This window comes from Homo sapiens, chromosome 4 (assembly GCF_000001405.40).
Source record: "Homo sapiens chromosome 4, GRCh38.p14 Primary Assembly".
NCBI classification, from domain to species: domain Eukaryota; kingdom Metazoa; phylum Chordata; class Mammalia; order Primates; family Hominidae; genus Homo; species Homo sapiens.
This window is the reverse complement of record NC_000004.12, coordinates 166,870,767-166,888,744: the sequence shown is the minus strand read 5'-3', so window position 1 is coordinate 166,888,744 and position 17,978 is coordinate 166,870,767. Positions and strand designations below refer to the sequence as shown.

The following is a 17,978-nucleotide window of genomic DNA, read 5'->3' as shown; positions in this document are numbered from 1 at the left end:
TCAGTCAATTAATACTAACCATTTTAAATAAAGATGTCTACCCCATGTATACAGCTGGTGTTTCATAATTTCCTGTGTAATAATTTTATAAGTTAAACTTTTTTTTGACCAGATGAAGTCTTTAATTCATTGTTTTTATTGGTTTACTATCTAATAAAAATAAAATGCATTCAACTAGATATGTACTATAATATATAACTTGACTTAAGATTATTTATTATAGTTTACATGGTATCATTATTATATTTGAAATATTGTTTATGCCTTTTTAAAAAGTCTCCATGGCTGCTAGCTCCAGCCCTCAGCACCTCTAGATAAAGAAGGAAGTGTGGAGAATAGATGCTTAAGTCAAAAAATATTTTACAGCATTAGAGCACTGTCATCAACAGTTATATAATTTATTACTATTGAACTCTTCTAATCTAATAATTATTATTGGATGCCCTTATTAGTGTGGATAAGTAATTTTTGCCCTTTTTCCTAAAAAATGTGAAGAATGGATATGCAAATAGGAAAAACGTATTGAGTATGAAATTTCTTTAATATAAACTTATGTATTTCATTGAGCATGATATACTTGTTATTCCATATTAAAGTACCACATAAATATTTTATTACAGATATAACTTCCAAACTTCAGTTATGCCACTTATATTGGTATTAACTCTTTAAGAAATATTTAAGATGAAAAAACAAAATAAAACTAAATGTTATAGCATTACCTTTAAGAGAGACTATTTTTATTATTCAAAAATAAATTAGCCGATTTGAAAATTAATGGTAAATTAGTGCTCAATCATTAGATCCTGTGAAGAATGACACCAGTTGGTAGAAGAGAGATGCCACGCTGCCTTTCAGGAGCTCTCTTCTTTTTTTTTTTTTTTCCATAAGTTATTGGGGCACAGGTGGTATTTGGCTGCATGAGTAAGTTCTTTAGTGGTGATTTGTAAGATCCTGGCCCACCCATCACCCGAGCAGTATAAACTGCAACATATATGTTGCCCAGGAGCCCTGTTCTTTAAGCCTCATCCTTGCTGACATGCCCCAGTCTAAGTTTAACTACCCAGTGTGGTTCCTTCTGTAGTCCTCAGCCCTCATCTCCTCCAATCCACTCTCTTCAACACAGCCCAAATAAGGACTTTCAGTACCACCTTGAATATACTAATTAGCCCCCAGATAATCAAAAAGCTACTTGTGGTTTCCTTTTAACTGAAATTCTTTGATGTTTGTGCCTTCCTCATTCCCACTTCTGATGGAGTACATTTTCACAATTAAATTGAAGACAAAACTGACCACATTTATCTTTGGAAATCACTTCAGGTGGGAAACAAATCCTACCAGGTTCACTATCCATGAGCCAGTTTTTTCACTGAAGGCTATTAAGAACAACATTTGAGATGTGGTCATAGTAAGTGTATATCTCTAATGTATCACAGACTTTGAAAAAGACTTTACTTCAATGAGATTTCCCGCTTTTAAACTTTGTTTTGAATGAAAAGGTATTGCTGATGTAGTATTAATTTATGATAACCAATCACAAGCTGCAAAAGGAACTCTATGTGCATTAAAGATGGAAGGTAGCACATCTGAGAAGAGGATCTCTTGTGAATAAACAATAATTATTTTTCATATTGTCAAATTTTCTGTATAGTGTGTATATTAATATATCAAGAAAGAAACTTTTAAAAGTCATATCATCAAGGGATAAAGATCATTTGTGTTCAATTGTGCGTAGAAAGAGAGGCAAGAAGAATTTAAACTAATCCTCCTCTGACAAATTGTCAGGGCAACGCAAGTACAGGATTTTGCTACCTGCTGTGGAAAAGCAGTACAGTCAATTTTGAGTGTCATTTCTACACAGTGCCAAAGGCTGAGAGACAGGGGAAATATAAAACTGAGTTTAGTATCATTTCTAATCTTTCAACTGTCATTTACATTAGAAGCATGCCTTAGGTAGACTGTGCAGTGCAGGAAATTCTATTTAATATCTTCTCTGTTCTAGAAAAAGTGAGGAATAAACTACCAACAATGAGATATTTCTTAAATCTTTCTGACTTCCTATATTTAAGGTCAAATTAGCACCATAGTATGTTTTCCTATGTTAAGATCAGAATCTTTAAATCTACTTGAAATGCATTAAAACTAATAAATATAGATTTTCTTCATAAAGTATGAATAAATAAAGTTTTTCTCTATTTCTCTAATGTACTTATTAAGAAATGTGCATAAATTGGTCCAAATACATACATTCAAGTATTTTAAATAAATAAAAACAGATAAATTCCATGTTTTAAACCCTAGATTCTGACTTTACATAAGTAGATAAGCATACACCCTTCAGTTAGTAACTTAGCTATACAGTTTTCTCATTTTCTAACTCATAAATTTAGTATTACACAGGCCAGTGTTTTGCAGTCCCTTTAATGGATTCCCTCCTTTTCTTCCATCTTTTTTTGTTAACGTACTGTTCAATTGCAAATAAAAAAGTATTATTTGTAAAGTAGATCAAATTCATTCAAAGGATATTGACATTTCAGCTGATTTTTAGAGGCCTCTAATATTTTTATGGCCAGGAAAATGTGAGATTCATAGTTGTGAGCATGGTCTATGAATAGACCATTTTCTACAGATTTTATGTATGTGTATAAAATGCAATCCTAAGAATTAGAAAGGACTTGCAAAACAAAAGTTCATTGAAAAAGAACATTGAAAAATATTGTAGAAAGCATTTATTTTTAAGTAGGATTTTTCTACCCTAGACAAATCTTAAATTGTCTACACAACAATGGTACATAAGCACAGTAAACTTTAGACATATGACACATCTAAAGTGCTCCATTGGTTTACTCATTTCACTGGTTAGAGTCAAAAGATCATTTTAATTAACATTTTCTGTTTGTTTCAAATCTGGGTATTCCAAAGTTCAAACTACTTTTCTTATGATTATGAGTTTTATGGTTTTATATATCTAACCTCTTAAAATTTAATTCATTTCAAATTATATCATTTTGAATATTTTAACCCCAACATGCATTTAAACACATACTCTTTATGCACCTTGTAGTTTGAATTGTTGAGTTTCAGTGAAGCCTGAATAGAGAAGGAAAATAACCTATTTTAAAAAGTAACAGGTGAAGCTGGGTAAAAAAGGAGGAAGTAGAAAAGGAACGTGGAATCCTAAAGGCCTTGGGCACCTTCAAGAAAGCCATCCCTTGCTTCTAGGATACAGAGTACTTTCAAGGAGGATACAGTGCAAATCGGTCATTGCCAGACATGAAGCTTTGGAATTAATTTATCTGAGTCAAACATATGAAAATGTTTATGTTCTTGAGCAAAGAGTTAACATTTCCAAAACTGTTTTTCTAAGTTTTACTTGAAAAGAGTTAACAGTTTCTAGTAAATCTTAGAGAAATTTATTATGTTACTGAGACAATTTTTTTGTTTGTTTGTTTGAAGTTGGGGTGGGTGGTTATTTTAGAAATAAGGCAACCAAGTCCCAGCAAGGATACTAGATGAAGAAATAACAGGAAAAATTGAATTGGGGTAATATTGCTGAGATGAAATTCACAAGGCTTTAAATCCAATTGCATATGATGGACAAGGAAAAAGAATCCCTCTAAGATTATTCTGAATTTAGTAATCTGGGTGATTTATAGAATGCTAACCAAAAGGACTAGCTTATTTTTCTGGACCTGTGGTTTGTAATTCCTACTAATCCTCATCTGCATTTTTAAAAATACTAGAGGTTTCTTTTATTGGGAGCTGAGAATCATGTAACATCATATTTCTCGTTTTGCCTTATTCATATAACTCTGTTATCCTACATACTAGACTTTAATACTAAGTGTGTGTGTGTGTGTGTGTGTGTGTGTGTTTAACCAGTTTATGGAATTTCTTTCTGGTTTGTGCATTGTTATCCTGTGGAGAGCCTAACTTATTCATTAAGGGTATAAATTTTAGAATTCCAGTCCTTCACTGCTGTGTGGTTCTTAGCTATATACTTAAGTTTATGAGTCTCATTTCTTCAACTGTAAAATATAAAATATATAAATCATTAGGATTTATGGATGTATTTCCTCAAATTTAACCAACTTTGCATTTCTATTTCATTTCAAAAGATTATACCTGTAAAATGCTGCTGAATCCTAGTAAATTACATAACTTTTTCACATATTAAATGCCATTTGTAATTTTATTTCTGGTGCTTTTAACATCATATTGGGTGGTAAAAATTGAAGAGATTTAATTTTTTCTATACTTAATAGTATGTATTTGCATATTTTGCAAAATATTTGTACATTGAGAGCTTGAAACAACTCATCAGTACAATCCTTTAGCCTGAAAGTTATTATCGGTCATTTTTTTTTTCATTTTTTTTTTTGTTGTTGTTGTTGAGATGGAGTCTCGCTCTTTCATCCAGGCCAACTGCAGTGGCGCTATCTTGGCTCACTGCAAGCTCCACCTCCCGGGTTCACGCCATCCTCCTGCCTCAGCCTCCCGAGTAGCTGGGACAACAGGTGCCAGCCACCACGCCCGGTTAATTTTTTGTATTTTTAGTAGAGACGGGGTTTCACTGTGTTAGCCAGGTTGATCTCGATCTCCTGTATAGGTCATTTTCTTTGACAAGTCTTTCACATTCTTTCATAGCTACTAGCCATTGCAACATATATTTCCAGACACAGAGAGAGGGATATGTAGCCATGTATGTAGTTATATACTGCTTCTTGATACAATTACTAGTCTAAATGTACATTATAATATTTTGTAATTAAAAACAGCTTTTCTAGGTGATCTAGGTCATCAGGAAAGATAATAGTGAACTACCATGTGGACACATTTGTTAATGCCTGTACTCCCATTCCTTTATGTTTTAGCGGTTATAATTTTGTGACATTATTTAAATTTTCTTAAATTCTTTAGTACTTGATTTTTGACAATTTCTATCAGAATGTGTGTATTAAAATGCAAATTAGGCACTGTTAAAAGAAAGCAGTTTTAATGATTCATATGCTGTTGTCACGAGTTACTAAAAGACATTTGTTTCAAACCTTGGCCCTTGATGTGAGCTACGCATTTCTAAGTACAATGGGTCCAGCAATAAAGTACAAAAATCTTGTGCTTGCTTTTATTCTTTATTGGGACCCACACCAGACACAAGTTTGAGACAGATTTGTAATGAGTCCTTCTCACTTCAGAGATCATTGGTACCCATGAAATTTTGGTATGAGGTCAGAGATCATTCAACAACCACAACATAAACAAAAAGATAGCTGTTTATTTAACAAAAGATATCTCATCTGAGACTGATTGTATTATTTGTAAATGGATGTGGGGACAATGAGTATAGGTTTGTAATCATTAGCTTCCTTTCCATATTAAACTGCAAAGCCTGATAATTTTTATTTACAGTATGACAAGGTATGGGACTGAGTTATTCTATAATCTGACACAGTCATTTTTTCCATTATTCATTTCAGTACTCTGAGTGCTATGGAACCCTATCAAGAAACAAAGTTTATTTCATTATTGTGCTATGATTATAAGTTAACTGATTTAAGGAAAAAGTATTATTGATTAAGAATTAATGTATGCCATTTTCCAAGTGACAAATAATTTAGTTTTAACGTTTAATTTTGTATGATGGAATTTTTTTATATCCTCTGAATTATGGAATGGATTTTCAATGAGAAACAGATTAACATCAGTGTATTAATATACTCTTGCAACATGCATGCTTCTCCGTAACTAATATAGTGTATTCATAAATGGTAAGTTCTTCTGTAATTTTGTTTAATTGGAGCCATGGAAAAATAAAATTAAGTCAGTTTATTGGCAAGTGTTGCATAATTATTTATAATAAAAATTAAGTTTTACTCATTTGGATTATTTGAAATACATTCTTGGATTAAATTAATGTGTCTGAAAACAGAACATAACCTGAAAGAGGAGTTTTCAATGTCTTCTCTGAAGACTATTTTTGTGTTAAATAATGAATTTCATATTTTACACAAATATTTTACATTATCTGTGAAACTGATGTTGGACTAAATTTTAACTTCCCTACTAATTTTACTTAGAAATTTTGAATTTTGAGCTTATGTAGTTGTATGTTATCAGATATAAAAGTGAAAAATAGCTCTGTATTAATTCTTGTAGCACTAAAGGACGTTTAAACTTATTCCTTCTTTAACTCCTTTCCAATACATAATATGGCATGTTCTTTTAAGACAACTATTTACAAAATGCAGTATAAGCACTCACCTAAAAGCAGTGGTCATAGTCAAAATATTTAACAGGTTTGAACTGGGTCCCGACAAATCACAATTGATGCAAGCCCAGACAGCACCATGGTACAGTGTGGTTTGGCCAGAAGATGAAATCAGAAACTGAGCATTTCTTGGTTTAAAATGGATATGTTGAGATATATTAAGAGGTTGATATTTGTGAACTCTTTTCCTGAGATCTGTATGTTAAGATGAATACATTTCTTGAAAAAGCACATAAAATTACCCTGGAGGGAGTGATACTGTTTTTCAGACTATCTCTACACTTTAACTTATATCATGCTGACCTTAGCTTAAGTGTGCTTTACACATGTTAATTCTAATGTAGAAACCACATGCCATTCAAGCTTATTACAAGGAAGGAGACAAATAATAATTATATGCACACAAATAATAGTGCAAAATCAAATATTATTTCTATAATGCACATGGCTGTCATCCCCCTTTCCACCCAGTACGTATCTTAAAAAATATGATCTACCACATATTCAACAGCATTTACTTGTACCAATATTAAATATAATGTACGATAATAAGGAGATGTTTGCTATTCCACTTCTAGTATAGGACGTATTAGCTTTCCAAATATATAAATAAGGTCAATTGATTTGTATTTAGATCTTCTGTGAAATCCTTTTGTGCATGGAAGATTAATGAAATATTTGAAGTTTAGCATCACACATTCTGAACAGTCTCTTAAAATGATATTTGAGCTTATAGTTTCTTTATGTAACTTAGCAGCTTAAAAAAGTCTAGGAGGATTTCAGGATCTCATGATAATTTTAAGCCTCAAGATAAGAAAGGAAAGCAAAGTTAAGGCAGTATTTACAGAGCCTCATAAAGAAATTGTTGATTTGATATTTCAGAAATAGGAAAAAATTCTCAAAGACTGTCAATTTTAGATATAGTACAAATATTATCTATGTTTTGTGGAGCGAAAATAAATCATGAAGCCATATTGAATTAAAAGTAATAAATAAAAATGAATTCTTTTTCTGTAAAATATATTTGATACAAGTAAGTTAGTTGAAGTAAAGACACTGTATGTACAATTCTATGCTTTTTTATTTTGTAATTATACTTTGAAATCACTTGGTTAATTACTATTAATCAATTTACTACATTAATTTATCGTAGGAATAAATCATTTCTGTTATGGATATATCATTTTCTGTTATTTGCAAATAACAAACTTTAGACATTTTGCAAGTGACTAAATAAGAAAAGGAAAAAAAATGCAATTATGTGACTGATGTTTCTATTTACATGTTAATGTAAACTATGCCTGTGAATTTTTTAATTTCAAAAACATTACAAAAGTAAAATTGTATTACATTTTATTCTATATAACAACTAATTTAAAAGTATATGTTGAAAGTTTGTATGGTTTTCTGAGTTTTTACTTCTTTTCAGTATTAGATTATTTAGAAATCATATTACAAAGGTCTATGAATAGATAGGGAATAATATAACAAAGATGTAATATATTTAGCAAATTATTGAACATACCAGTCCACAAAGATTTTCAGTGAATTCAACATTTATGAGGAATGTTATATATGGATTTTTAAATACTTAATGAGGGATATATAAAGGTTAAACCGGATGGTTCAAGAATGGAGGAGCATGAGCAGTTAGGAAGTTGGTAAGAATTGAGGCTTGAAATGATTGTGATTAAAATATTAGAGATAGGAAGCAGATGATAGATTCAAGAAATGTTTAGGAAGCTAAATGGTTATGCCTTGTCGATTGACTTTAGGAAAGGAGAGGAGAATTAATGATAACTCCTGAGAAGATTATGGTGATAAAACCGAGATGGAAAAATTGTTAGAGAATCAAACGACATGGGAAAGTTGTTAAGTTCAATATTGGACACAGTGTTTTTAAGGTGTCAATGGCCAAACCAAGTATAGACACATTTGCCTTTACACATCTAAGAGAAGTAGTCTGGGTTCTTCTAAAGTAAACGCTGGAGAATTTACAGGTAATACATCAAATCATGAGAGTGAACAAAATCCACTGAGGGACAGAAAGTGAGAAAAGCAGTGGCTCAGTTCTGGAAAAGACTATACATGCATGGGTCAGAAAAGGAAGAAGAATCTGTGGAGGACTTAAGGAGAAACAGGAGAGAACAGTGTACCAGAAGCTGAGGAATAATTCTGACTTGAAAGAGATAAAGAGCTTGACTCTTGACTACAGAAGGAATGTTCAGTAATATGACACCTGAGAAATGACCACAGACTTCAGCTATTAGAATATCAGTAGTAACTATAGAAAAAGCAACCTCAGTCTACCAGGAGTTCAATAAAATAAAGTGAACAAATTACTTGGCATATATAGTAGGTATCTGTATTAGTCTGTTCTTGCACTTCCATAAATAAATACCTGAGATTGGTAATTTATAAAGAAAAGAGGTTTAATTGGCTCACGGTTCTGCAGGCTGTACAGGAAGCATCAGGGCTTCTGCAGCTCAGGAGGCCTCAGGAAATTTACAATCATGGTAGAAGGCAAAGGGGAAGCAGGCATGTCTTACATGGCCAGAACAGGAGGCAGAGAGAGAAGAGGGAGATGGTACACACTTTTAAACAACCAGATCTTATGAGAACTCGGGACAGTACCCAGGGGAAAACTGCCCCCATGATCCAATCACCTCCCGCCAGATCTCACCTCCAACATTGGAGATTAAAATCCAACAAGAGATATGAGCTGGGACACAGATCCAAACCATATCAGTATTCAATAAATGTTTCTTCTCCCACTGGTCTTCCATCCCCCATTCCCAACATATAATTTGTTTCAGTGGAGTTCAAAGAACACAGTACAAATGTAAAATATGAGGGAAAGTGGTGAAAATAACATTTATCTGGCATCTACTATATGCAAGGTAATTTGCCTTTGTCATTTCATTTAGTTCTCAAAATATGTACATATTTTTTAAATCTTACACTTTTTTTTAGAGACAAAGTCTTGCTATGTTTCCCAGGTTGGTCTCAAAGTCCTGGTCTCAAGTGATCCTCCCACCTCAGCCTCCTGAGTAGCTAGAACTATAAGTGCACGCCACCATGCCTGGCTAATTTATTTTTATTTTTATTTTTGTAGAGACAGGATCTCAGTATGTTGCTCAGGCTGGTTTCTAAATCCTGGCCTCAAGTGATCCTCTTACCTCAGGCTCCCAAAGCGCTGGGATTACAGGCATGAGCCATCATGATCATGCCTGGCTATAACTCTTATTGGTAAACCAGCTGGGAACATGAGGAAACTGAAGTTCCAAAGTGAAGAGACATTTCCTTAATTTAAAATAGTTGCCAGATAGTCTTTCTGCCTTCTCCATCTACACTCTGCATATATATTTTTTTTAATTAACAGGCTGATTTTACCCCAGGTTTGTCACTTTTCTAAATTTTGGTTAAGATTCTTAAATTTGTTAAACATAAATCCATAGCCATTTTAAAGTAAAAGGGCTAGATTAATATCATTTTGCCCTTATTAGTATATGCTGGACACTCCTTTAGCTGCATGTATTATTTAAATGTCTTATTTCATCTAGTCCTCACAAAGCCCTAGGATGTGGATGCTATTTGTATCCTTGCTTCACTTTACAAATGATTAACCTGAGCCACGGATAAGTTAAGTAACCAGTCTAAAGTCACACAACTAATAAGCACCAAAGCAAGGTTTTGAAGCGATGATTGCTGCCTCCTAATTACAGTGTCTTACCAGCCCTTTGGAGTCTCTCTTTCTGTTATGGTCACAGGTCATGTGCTCCTTCAATAACAGTATATAATTTTGGTGATATGTGTGAAATAACTTAGAGTATTTGTATTATTTTTACCAAGCAGAGATATATAAAGAATTGACATTGTATTTTTAAAATGAACTTACTACAAGCTATGAGTTAAATATACATTTTAAAGATTTTTTATACATTTAAAATATACATTTTATACATTTAAAATATACATATAAAATATACATATAAAATATACATTTTAAAAATTTTAAAAATTTATTGGCCTATGTTGCCTATGATTTTGGCCAACTTCTTATAGTGTATATATTTGGGAGCCAAATTTTCATGAAATATTACATAATAAACATTCTGAGATGCCAACAAGTAAACATGCATCATTTATTTTTCTCTCCTTAGAAGTGTTGTTTATAACTTTGTTTCAATTATTTTTTGAGATGGAGTCTTGCTCTGTAGCCCAGGGTGGATTGCAGTGGCGTGATCTCGGCCCACTGCAACCTTCGCCACCCGGGTTCAAGCAATTCTCCTGCCTCAGCCTCCTGAATAGCTGGGATTACAGGCATGTGCCAATTCGCCCAGATAATTTTTGTATTTTTTTTAGTAGAGATGGGGTTTCACCATGTTGGCCAGGCTGGTCTCGACTCCTGACCTCAGGTGATCCACCTGCCTCGGCCTCCCAAAGTGCTGAGATTACAGGCATGAGCCACCGCGCCCGGCCATTTTGTTTATATCTTTCCTGGTAGCATTTTTCATATTTCCAAGGTGATGCAGGATGATAGCTATGGTAGCAATAGATGATTTACTTAATGTATTACTAATTAATCTTTTCTGTGCATTTCTTGTAAAGTATATTTATACCAAATTTCTACTTATTGGCAAAATTATTACTGTTTCTACTATTTTTACATAATTAGTAACATCAGTTAAATGTAAAATCACTTGTAATGAAGTTGTTACTACAAACAAAAAAATCAGTTCAAGAATTTTAATATATTTTTCCCAAATCATCTCTAAGAATGAAAGTATGGTTTATCTCTGAACAAAAATGACCTGTTAATGAGAACTTTTACATTATAGTGTACTCTGAAATGGATTGTGGAAACATTTTACCTCCTGCTTACTGTTCTTTTGAGATTTTCATTCTTTTTTCTTCTATCCCTACCAAAGATCTAGTATTTAATAGCACTTGATTTAAATACTGTTACATTTGCCTAATAATACGTTTATATTTATTTGTATTTAGCTTATGTTTTCTGAACGTGAGAGCTCTAATTGCTTTTATTTTCTGTAATGGAACTCTTTACTTAAAATTTGGCAGTTTTAACACCATAAAAGAAATATCTCAACTCTAATAACAGAATTTACCCAAAGCAAGAATAATCAAGGAATGTTCAATGATACCAGAGAAAATAGCTGCAGAGAAATCTACTTTTTGAATCACAATCAGTAAGTCTAAAATGGCTCTGAAAGGTTCAGAATTTTGGTTTCTATAGGAGAATATTTTGACACAAAATAATTTGTGTACATGGTAAAATACTAACTAGTACAAATCAAAATATAATGAGATCAACTGTTCTTGCACAAACCCTTTAAATCCTGTTTTATTGATTAGAGGTAGCCACTTTAACCACTATGGTATTTCATTCTTTTGGTTGTTTCTATTGTAACTTTGATGTGTGTATCCCTTCACTGATAATGTATCAATTAGAGACAATATTTACTATTTTGAAAAATAAATATTTATCTTATTTCTCTACCCCAAACTTCCCATAGTGAAAATAAATTATTATTAAAGTTATCTCACTGATAATTTTTAACCTTTCAATAAATGTAAACTTTTTTCTTGTTTCATCAAGTTCAGAAAAGTGTCACCAGCACCCTTAATTTTGCAACAAGTTCTGCTCATTCATCTCGACTTCCTTCACCTACATATATTTTATGTTTTTTACACTTAAATATTTAACTAAAACAAGTCTTCCATGATTAGTCTGGAGTTTGATACTAAATGTTAAAAATCAAAAGATACTATTAATATCGTTTGTAAATAATTTTTGCTATAATATAGTATATTATGCTCTATATACATGTTCATCACCACTATAAAATGCTGTACATCCTTGTGCCAATAAAACTAGAATGCCAAGACCTGATGGATCATCTATTCAACATTATCGTTTGCTTAAAATCATGCCAAATTTTAGTTAACATGATATTTGATATTTTTCTGCTTTTACTTTTATGTGTATTTATTTTATGCTGATTGTTTTCCCCAGGCCATAAGTTTTTGTTTCTTCAGTTTCTTAACTCTCTTCCACGGAGCTTCTAAATAGCTTTCTTTTTCATCAAGAGGAAAGAAAAAATTCCATTGCCATATTTTCAAAATTCTTTAGTCTCAAATTGTAAGAAAACACCAGTCACATTCGCAGCGGTATGTAGGAAAGCAGTTCTTCACAGTGTTCCCACAAGTCTTGAACTACCTTCCCAAGCAAACATTCTTGGAATAATGTTTCCCTTCAAGTGAGTGGGTGGAGTTATTGAATTAGGCTATAACAAAGCCCCTCACTTCTCTGAGGAGATTTGTTTAATTCTCGCGGTAGTAAAGATAATGCCTTCTTCCAAGGCAACAGCGAGTTAAGTTTGCTCCCAATCCCATATAGGTTGTGCTTTTCCTGAGCCCCGTGCTCCTCAGCTGTGCCACAGATCTGTGTGCTCCGCCTTCCACTGGGCTCCTGTTGCTTCTGTGTGACTTGAGGGGGCAATGGGAATTCATGTGAACAAGAAGAAGCTTTTGCTACCTGCTGTGCCATGAGTAGTAAACTGTCTACATTCTTTCAGAGTTGTTTCAATTACTGACCAAATTTCTGAAAATGTGGTAACATCACAGCTTTCTGCTGCCTAGAAACCGCTTGCTCTTCACTTGGCACTTTGTCTATTCTAGACCTTTCTACATTCTGATCCAGTCCAGTCCTGTCTGGTCCTAAACCTGCACAAATTCTCATCTGTAACACTTGTAATTTCCGCTCCTAGTTTATGTCCATAATTACTCTAATTTAATATTTTCCATTTTCTTATATTGTCTCCTTTGGTTTTCTTCACTACAGCTATATGCCTTAATATTTTCTTAAAGAGGGTGTGGGTATGGTAAACTTTTTAGGAGCTTCAATATCAGACAACTCTTTATTTTGAACATAGAATTGTTAAATAGTATGGTAAATAGAATTTAATACCGGATAAAATAGCATATTTCCTCAGTATGTGAACGCTTTGATCATTTGTCTTCTAGCTTCTAATATTGTAGACAGCAATAATATTATTTACATTATAGAAAATGATGTATGAATAACTGAAAGGAATATCATGATTAAGTATTTCACCATTAAAATTAATAATATAGACAAAAATATCACACCTACTAGAAAATCTGAGGCTATATAAACTAACTTGGGATTTTTGAACTATTAACTTTTTCTAGAAGTAAATATTTTAATAATACATAGTTTCAGCTTCTTATTTTTTAAATATGCAAAAGTGTTGCAGAAAAGTGATACTGATTATCAAAAGTAATAACCAACCTATCATAAATATTTATATGGCATTAGTGATTTACATATTGTAAATATGACAAATATATCTATATGTCCTTTAAAAAACTTGTAGATCACTCACTCCTCTATGAGATAATTTTCTTAAAGATTTTAGCCATATGTAAGCATAGCACAAACTAAGGTGCACAGTTATTTGTTTAAGACAAAAATGTCTTACAATATGGGCAGACTAGAACAACTTTCTGATATTCTAGTCTATTTATATAAATAGAAGGTATTGACATAATTACTTAACTAGGTCAGGCAAAAGAGTTACTATTAAAATTCTACTACTTTAGGGATTACTTTTTCCAATAAGATATTAAATTTGCATCTGCCCTAATTTCTGTCATTTTGCATATACGTCATGTACCAAATACAATTCTACAATCTACTTTTCCAAAACTTTTGATTATCATAAAGTCTTCTATTTAAAACCCAAGTGTCCAGGGAGTCACTTGATTCCTGTATTTAAACTCACAGTTGTAGGGGCCACACATGTGTGTGCTTACATGGTGATACTGCCACTGACCTGAAGTTTGACATTGAGGAGATTAGCAATTACATGCTAATTCAGTTTCCTCTTCTACAATGTAGGTAAAGTAAAATCCACTGAGTATTTGTGAAGATCAAATTGAATACACAGATACGATGTCCTTAGCACGTTATATAAATAATCAATTCTACTTATCAAAGACCTATATTTTTCAAGGGTCTGATGCTTTTTCCCTACTTGGAAGCTAACAAGCCTGCCTGCCACAATCTCACAGATGCTGGCAGCATACAGGAGACTTTGAAATCAGAGATATAGGACTCTGATTGTTGTTCACAAGAACTTCTTGCTTGCGTTCATTCTCCTTGGTCACAAGCTCACAGGTGGGATTCAGCTCAGGAGAATGCTGTATACATGGTGGGGTTGAGTATTAGCTGAGGAACGCCAAGCTTAGGTAACCCCCATCCTTATAAAGAGGATAGTAGCAAACTTGTACAACCTCTACCCCAGAGAAAGACATTATCTTTACCATTCTGGAAAGCAACAGATTTTGTTCTCTCCCCTGCATGGCGACACTACTTCAATCTCCCAAGATCATTTGCTATACATGCATCTTCAAAATGACAGTCTGGGACAAAAGCTACTACAAGGTGCATGTACACACGAGAGACACTTGGGAAATTGTTCTTAACAATATTATTATCAAATCCATTCCTTCTTCTGAGTGAATACCCACATGCTTTTGAGATCTTTGATGCCAATTTGCCTTCCTCTTTTTCCTTTAGAATCTGTCCCTTTTGTTTCTATTGAGTTCTATACCCTTCCCCAACTACCAACCTATGTTCTTAGCATCTACAGTGCCTAGTGTAGAGAAAATAATTGTTCAAATTAAATGAGTTGAGTTTATGAATTTATTGGTCAGGAATCAAACTAATTTAGTAGTAACAGGGAATCTTAAAGAAAGGACATCAGAATTTATCTACACTATGATTCTCAAAGTCCAATATATATCTCCTATAAGTATTTGAAATGAAAACTTTCATTTTCATTAAAATAGGCTTTATTTGTGCCGCAGTTTATGTTCACAACAATATAGAGCAGAAGGTACAGCGATTTAACATATAACCCATACATCCACACATGTATAGCCTCTTCCATTATCAACATCCTCCATCATACTGCAATTGCATCATTTGCTGCAATTGATGAAGCTATTGATATATCATTATCACCCAAAGTTCATAGTTTACATTCAGGTTCACTCTTGTTATTGTACATATTATGGGCTTGGAGAAATTTATAATGACAAGTATCAGTCATTGTGGTATTATACAAAGTAGTTCATTGCCATAAAAATACTTTGTGCTCTACCTTTTCATCCCTCTCTTCTCCAAGCCCTGGAAACCACTGATGTTTTTTTTTTTTTTTAACTTCTTCATCACTCTTCTTTTCCAGAATGTCATTGCTTTGGTTTGGTTTGTCCCCACCAAAACTCATGTTGAAATTTGATTCCCAGTCTGGTGGTGTTGGGAGGTGAGGGCTAGTGGAAAGTATATGGGTCATAGCAGCAGATCCCTCATGGAGACTAATGCCCTCCGAAAGGCGTGAATGAGCTCTCCCTCTCTCCATGATGGATGAGTTCTTGAGAAAGAAGGTTGTTAAAAAGACTCTGCCTTCCCCTGTTCCTCTTTCTTGCTTCCTTTTTCACCAGGTGATCGCTTTACACATGCCACCTTCCCTTCTGCATTCCACCAGGAATTGAAGCAGCATAAGACCCTCACCAGATACAGATGCCCAATTTTGAACTTGCCAACCACCAGAATCATGAGCCAAATAAAGCTCTTTGTTTAAATAAACTGTCCAATCTCAGGTATTCTGTTACAGCAACAAAAAAATAACTAAGACATTCATATAGTTAGAATCATACACTATGCAGCCTTTCATATTGGCTCCTTTCACTTAGTGATGTTTATTTAAGTTTCTTTGATGTCCTTTCATGGCTTGATAGCTCATTTCTATTTGGTGTTGGAGAATACTGCTTTGTCTGAATGCCCCACTGTATTTATCCATTTACATACTGAAGGATATCTTGGTTTCTTCCAAGTTTTGGCAACCGTGAGTAAAACTCTTATAAACATCCATGTACAGGTTTTTGTATGGACATAAGTTTATGTGTATACCCATATGTATAGTTTGTTTTTGTTTTTCCGTCTTGAGTTTCAGTTTGTCATTGCTAGTGTTTAGGAGGCTCACTTTATATCCTGCAACGATGCTAAATTAGCTTATTAATTTCAGGAGACTTTTGTAGATTCTTTAGCATTTTCTATGTAGCCAGTAATGTTGTTAGTGAATAAAGATAATTTTATTTCTCTATATCCTATATGTATACTTTCTACCTTCTGTTACATATTCTATTACTCATTCTTGTCTTATTACACTACTAGGACTTTTACTGTACTGTTTAATATGAGTGATGAGAGGATATTTTTCTTGTTCTGAACCTTAGGGGAAAATTTTTCAGTTTGTCATAATTAAAATACTTAAGATTATATATATATATGTGTGTGTGTGTGTGTGTGTATGTTTGTGTGTTTGTGTGTGTGTGTGCCCTTTATTAGATAGAGAAAGTTTTTCTTTATACCTTGTTTTGTCAAGAGTGGGTATTAAACTTTGTTAAATTACTTTTCTGCCTCAATTGGTATGCTCAATTTTTTTTTCTTATTTGGTATTCTAATATGTTACATTGCATTGATTTATTAATGCTGAACCAGGCTTACTTCTTGGAATACTGCTTACTCTTTTTATATTGTTTTATATATAAAATAATTTATTAATATTTTTAAATATTTTTTTGCTAAAATATCATAAGATATTTTAGTTTGTAATTTTCTTGTAATGTCTTTATCTGGCATTAGTATTAGGGCAAAGACTGTCTTATATTATTTGTAGTGTTTCTTTCTCTTCAAATTTCTGGAAGATTTTGTGCAGAATTTGTAATTGTTTTTTTCTAAATGTTCCATAGAATTCACCACTGAAGTACCTTGGCAGATCTTTTCTTTGTTTGCAACGTTTTAACCAAGTGTTCAATTTTTACAATAGATATACGGTTATTCAGATTATGTATTGCTCCTTAAAAGAGTTTTGGTGGTTTGAGTCTGCCAAGGACATGGTTTGTTTTACTAAAATTATCAAATTTATGAGCATATAGCTGTTCATAATACTATCTTGTTATCCTTTTAATGTCTATGAAAGCAGTAGTGACGACCCTTTGGTCTGTCCCAATATTGCTAATTTTGCCCTCTTTTTATTTCTTGGTTAATTCATCTCTATGCTTCTCAATTTTATTGATCTTTTCAAAGAATCACCTTTTGGTTTCATTGATTTTATTTATTGATTTATTGTTTTAGTTACATTGACTTCTGTTTTTTTATTATCATTTTCTTCCTTTTACTTGTTTATATTTAATTTTTTCTTCTTTCTCTAGTCTCTTGAGGTGGAATTGTATTAGTCCATTCTCACACTGCTATAAAGAAATGCCTCAGACTGGGTAATTTATACAAGAAAGAGGTTCAATTGACTCACGATTCCACATGGCTGGGGAGGCCTCAGGAAACTTACAATCATGATGGAAGGCAAAGGGGAAGCAAGGACCTTCTTTACATGGTGGCAGGAGAGACAAGTGTGAGCAGGGGTAATGCCAGATGCTTATAAAACCATCAGATCTTGTGAGAACTTACTCACTATCATGAGAAGAGCATGGGGGTACCATCCCCATGATCCAATCACCTCCCACCACATCCCTCCCTCGACATGTGGGAATTATGGGGATTATAATTCAAGATGAGATTTGAGTGGGGACACAGTCAAAC

General features: G+C 33.1%; 1 protein-coding gene across 12 annotated transcripts in view, besides 1 other annotated feature; it reads left to right on the top strand.

Annotated features, from left to right (window-relative positions):
- The window catches only part of SPOCK3 (SPARC (osteonectin), cwcv and kazal like domains proteoglycan 3), a 501,562-nt gene that overhangs the window by 346,201 nt on the left and 137,383 nt on the right, over positions 1-17,978 (top strand). The window lies entirely within an intron of this gene.
- Positions 12,412-12,913: an enhancer, noted in NCBI's record as "NANOG hESC enhancer chr4:167796983-167797484 (GRCh37/hg19 assembly coordinates)". NCBI's record gives its function as "activates a minimal SCP1, AML or CMV promoter by ChIP-STARR-seq in naive H9 embryonic stem cells {active_cell/tissue: H9 hESC(naive)}" and the evidence as "EXISTENCE:reporter gene assay evidence [ECO:0000049][PMID:30033119]".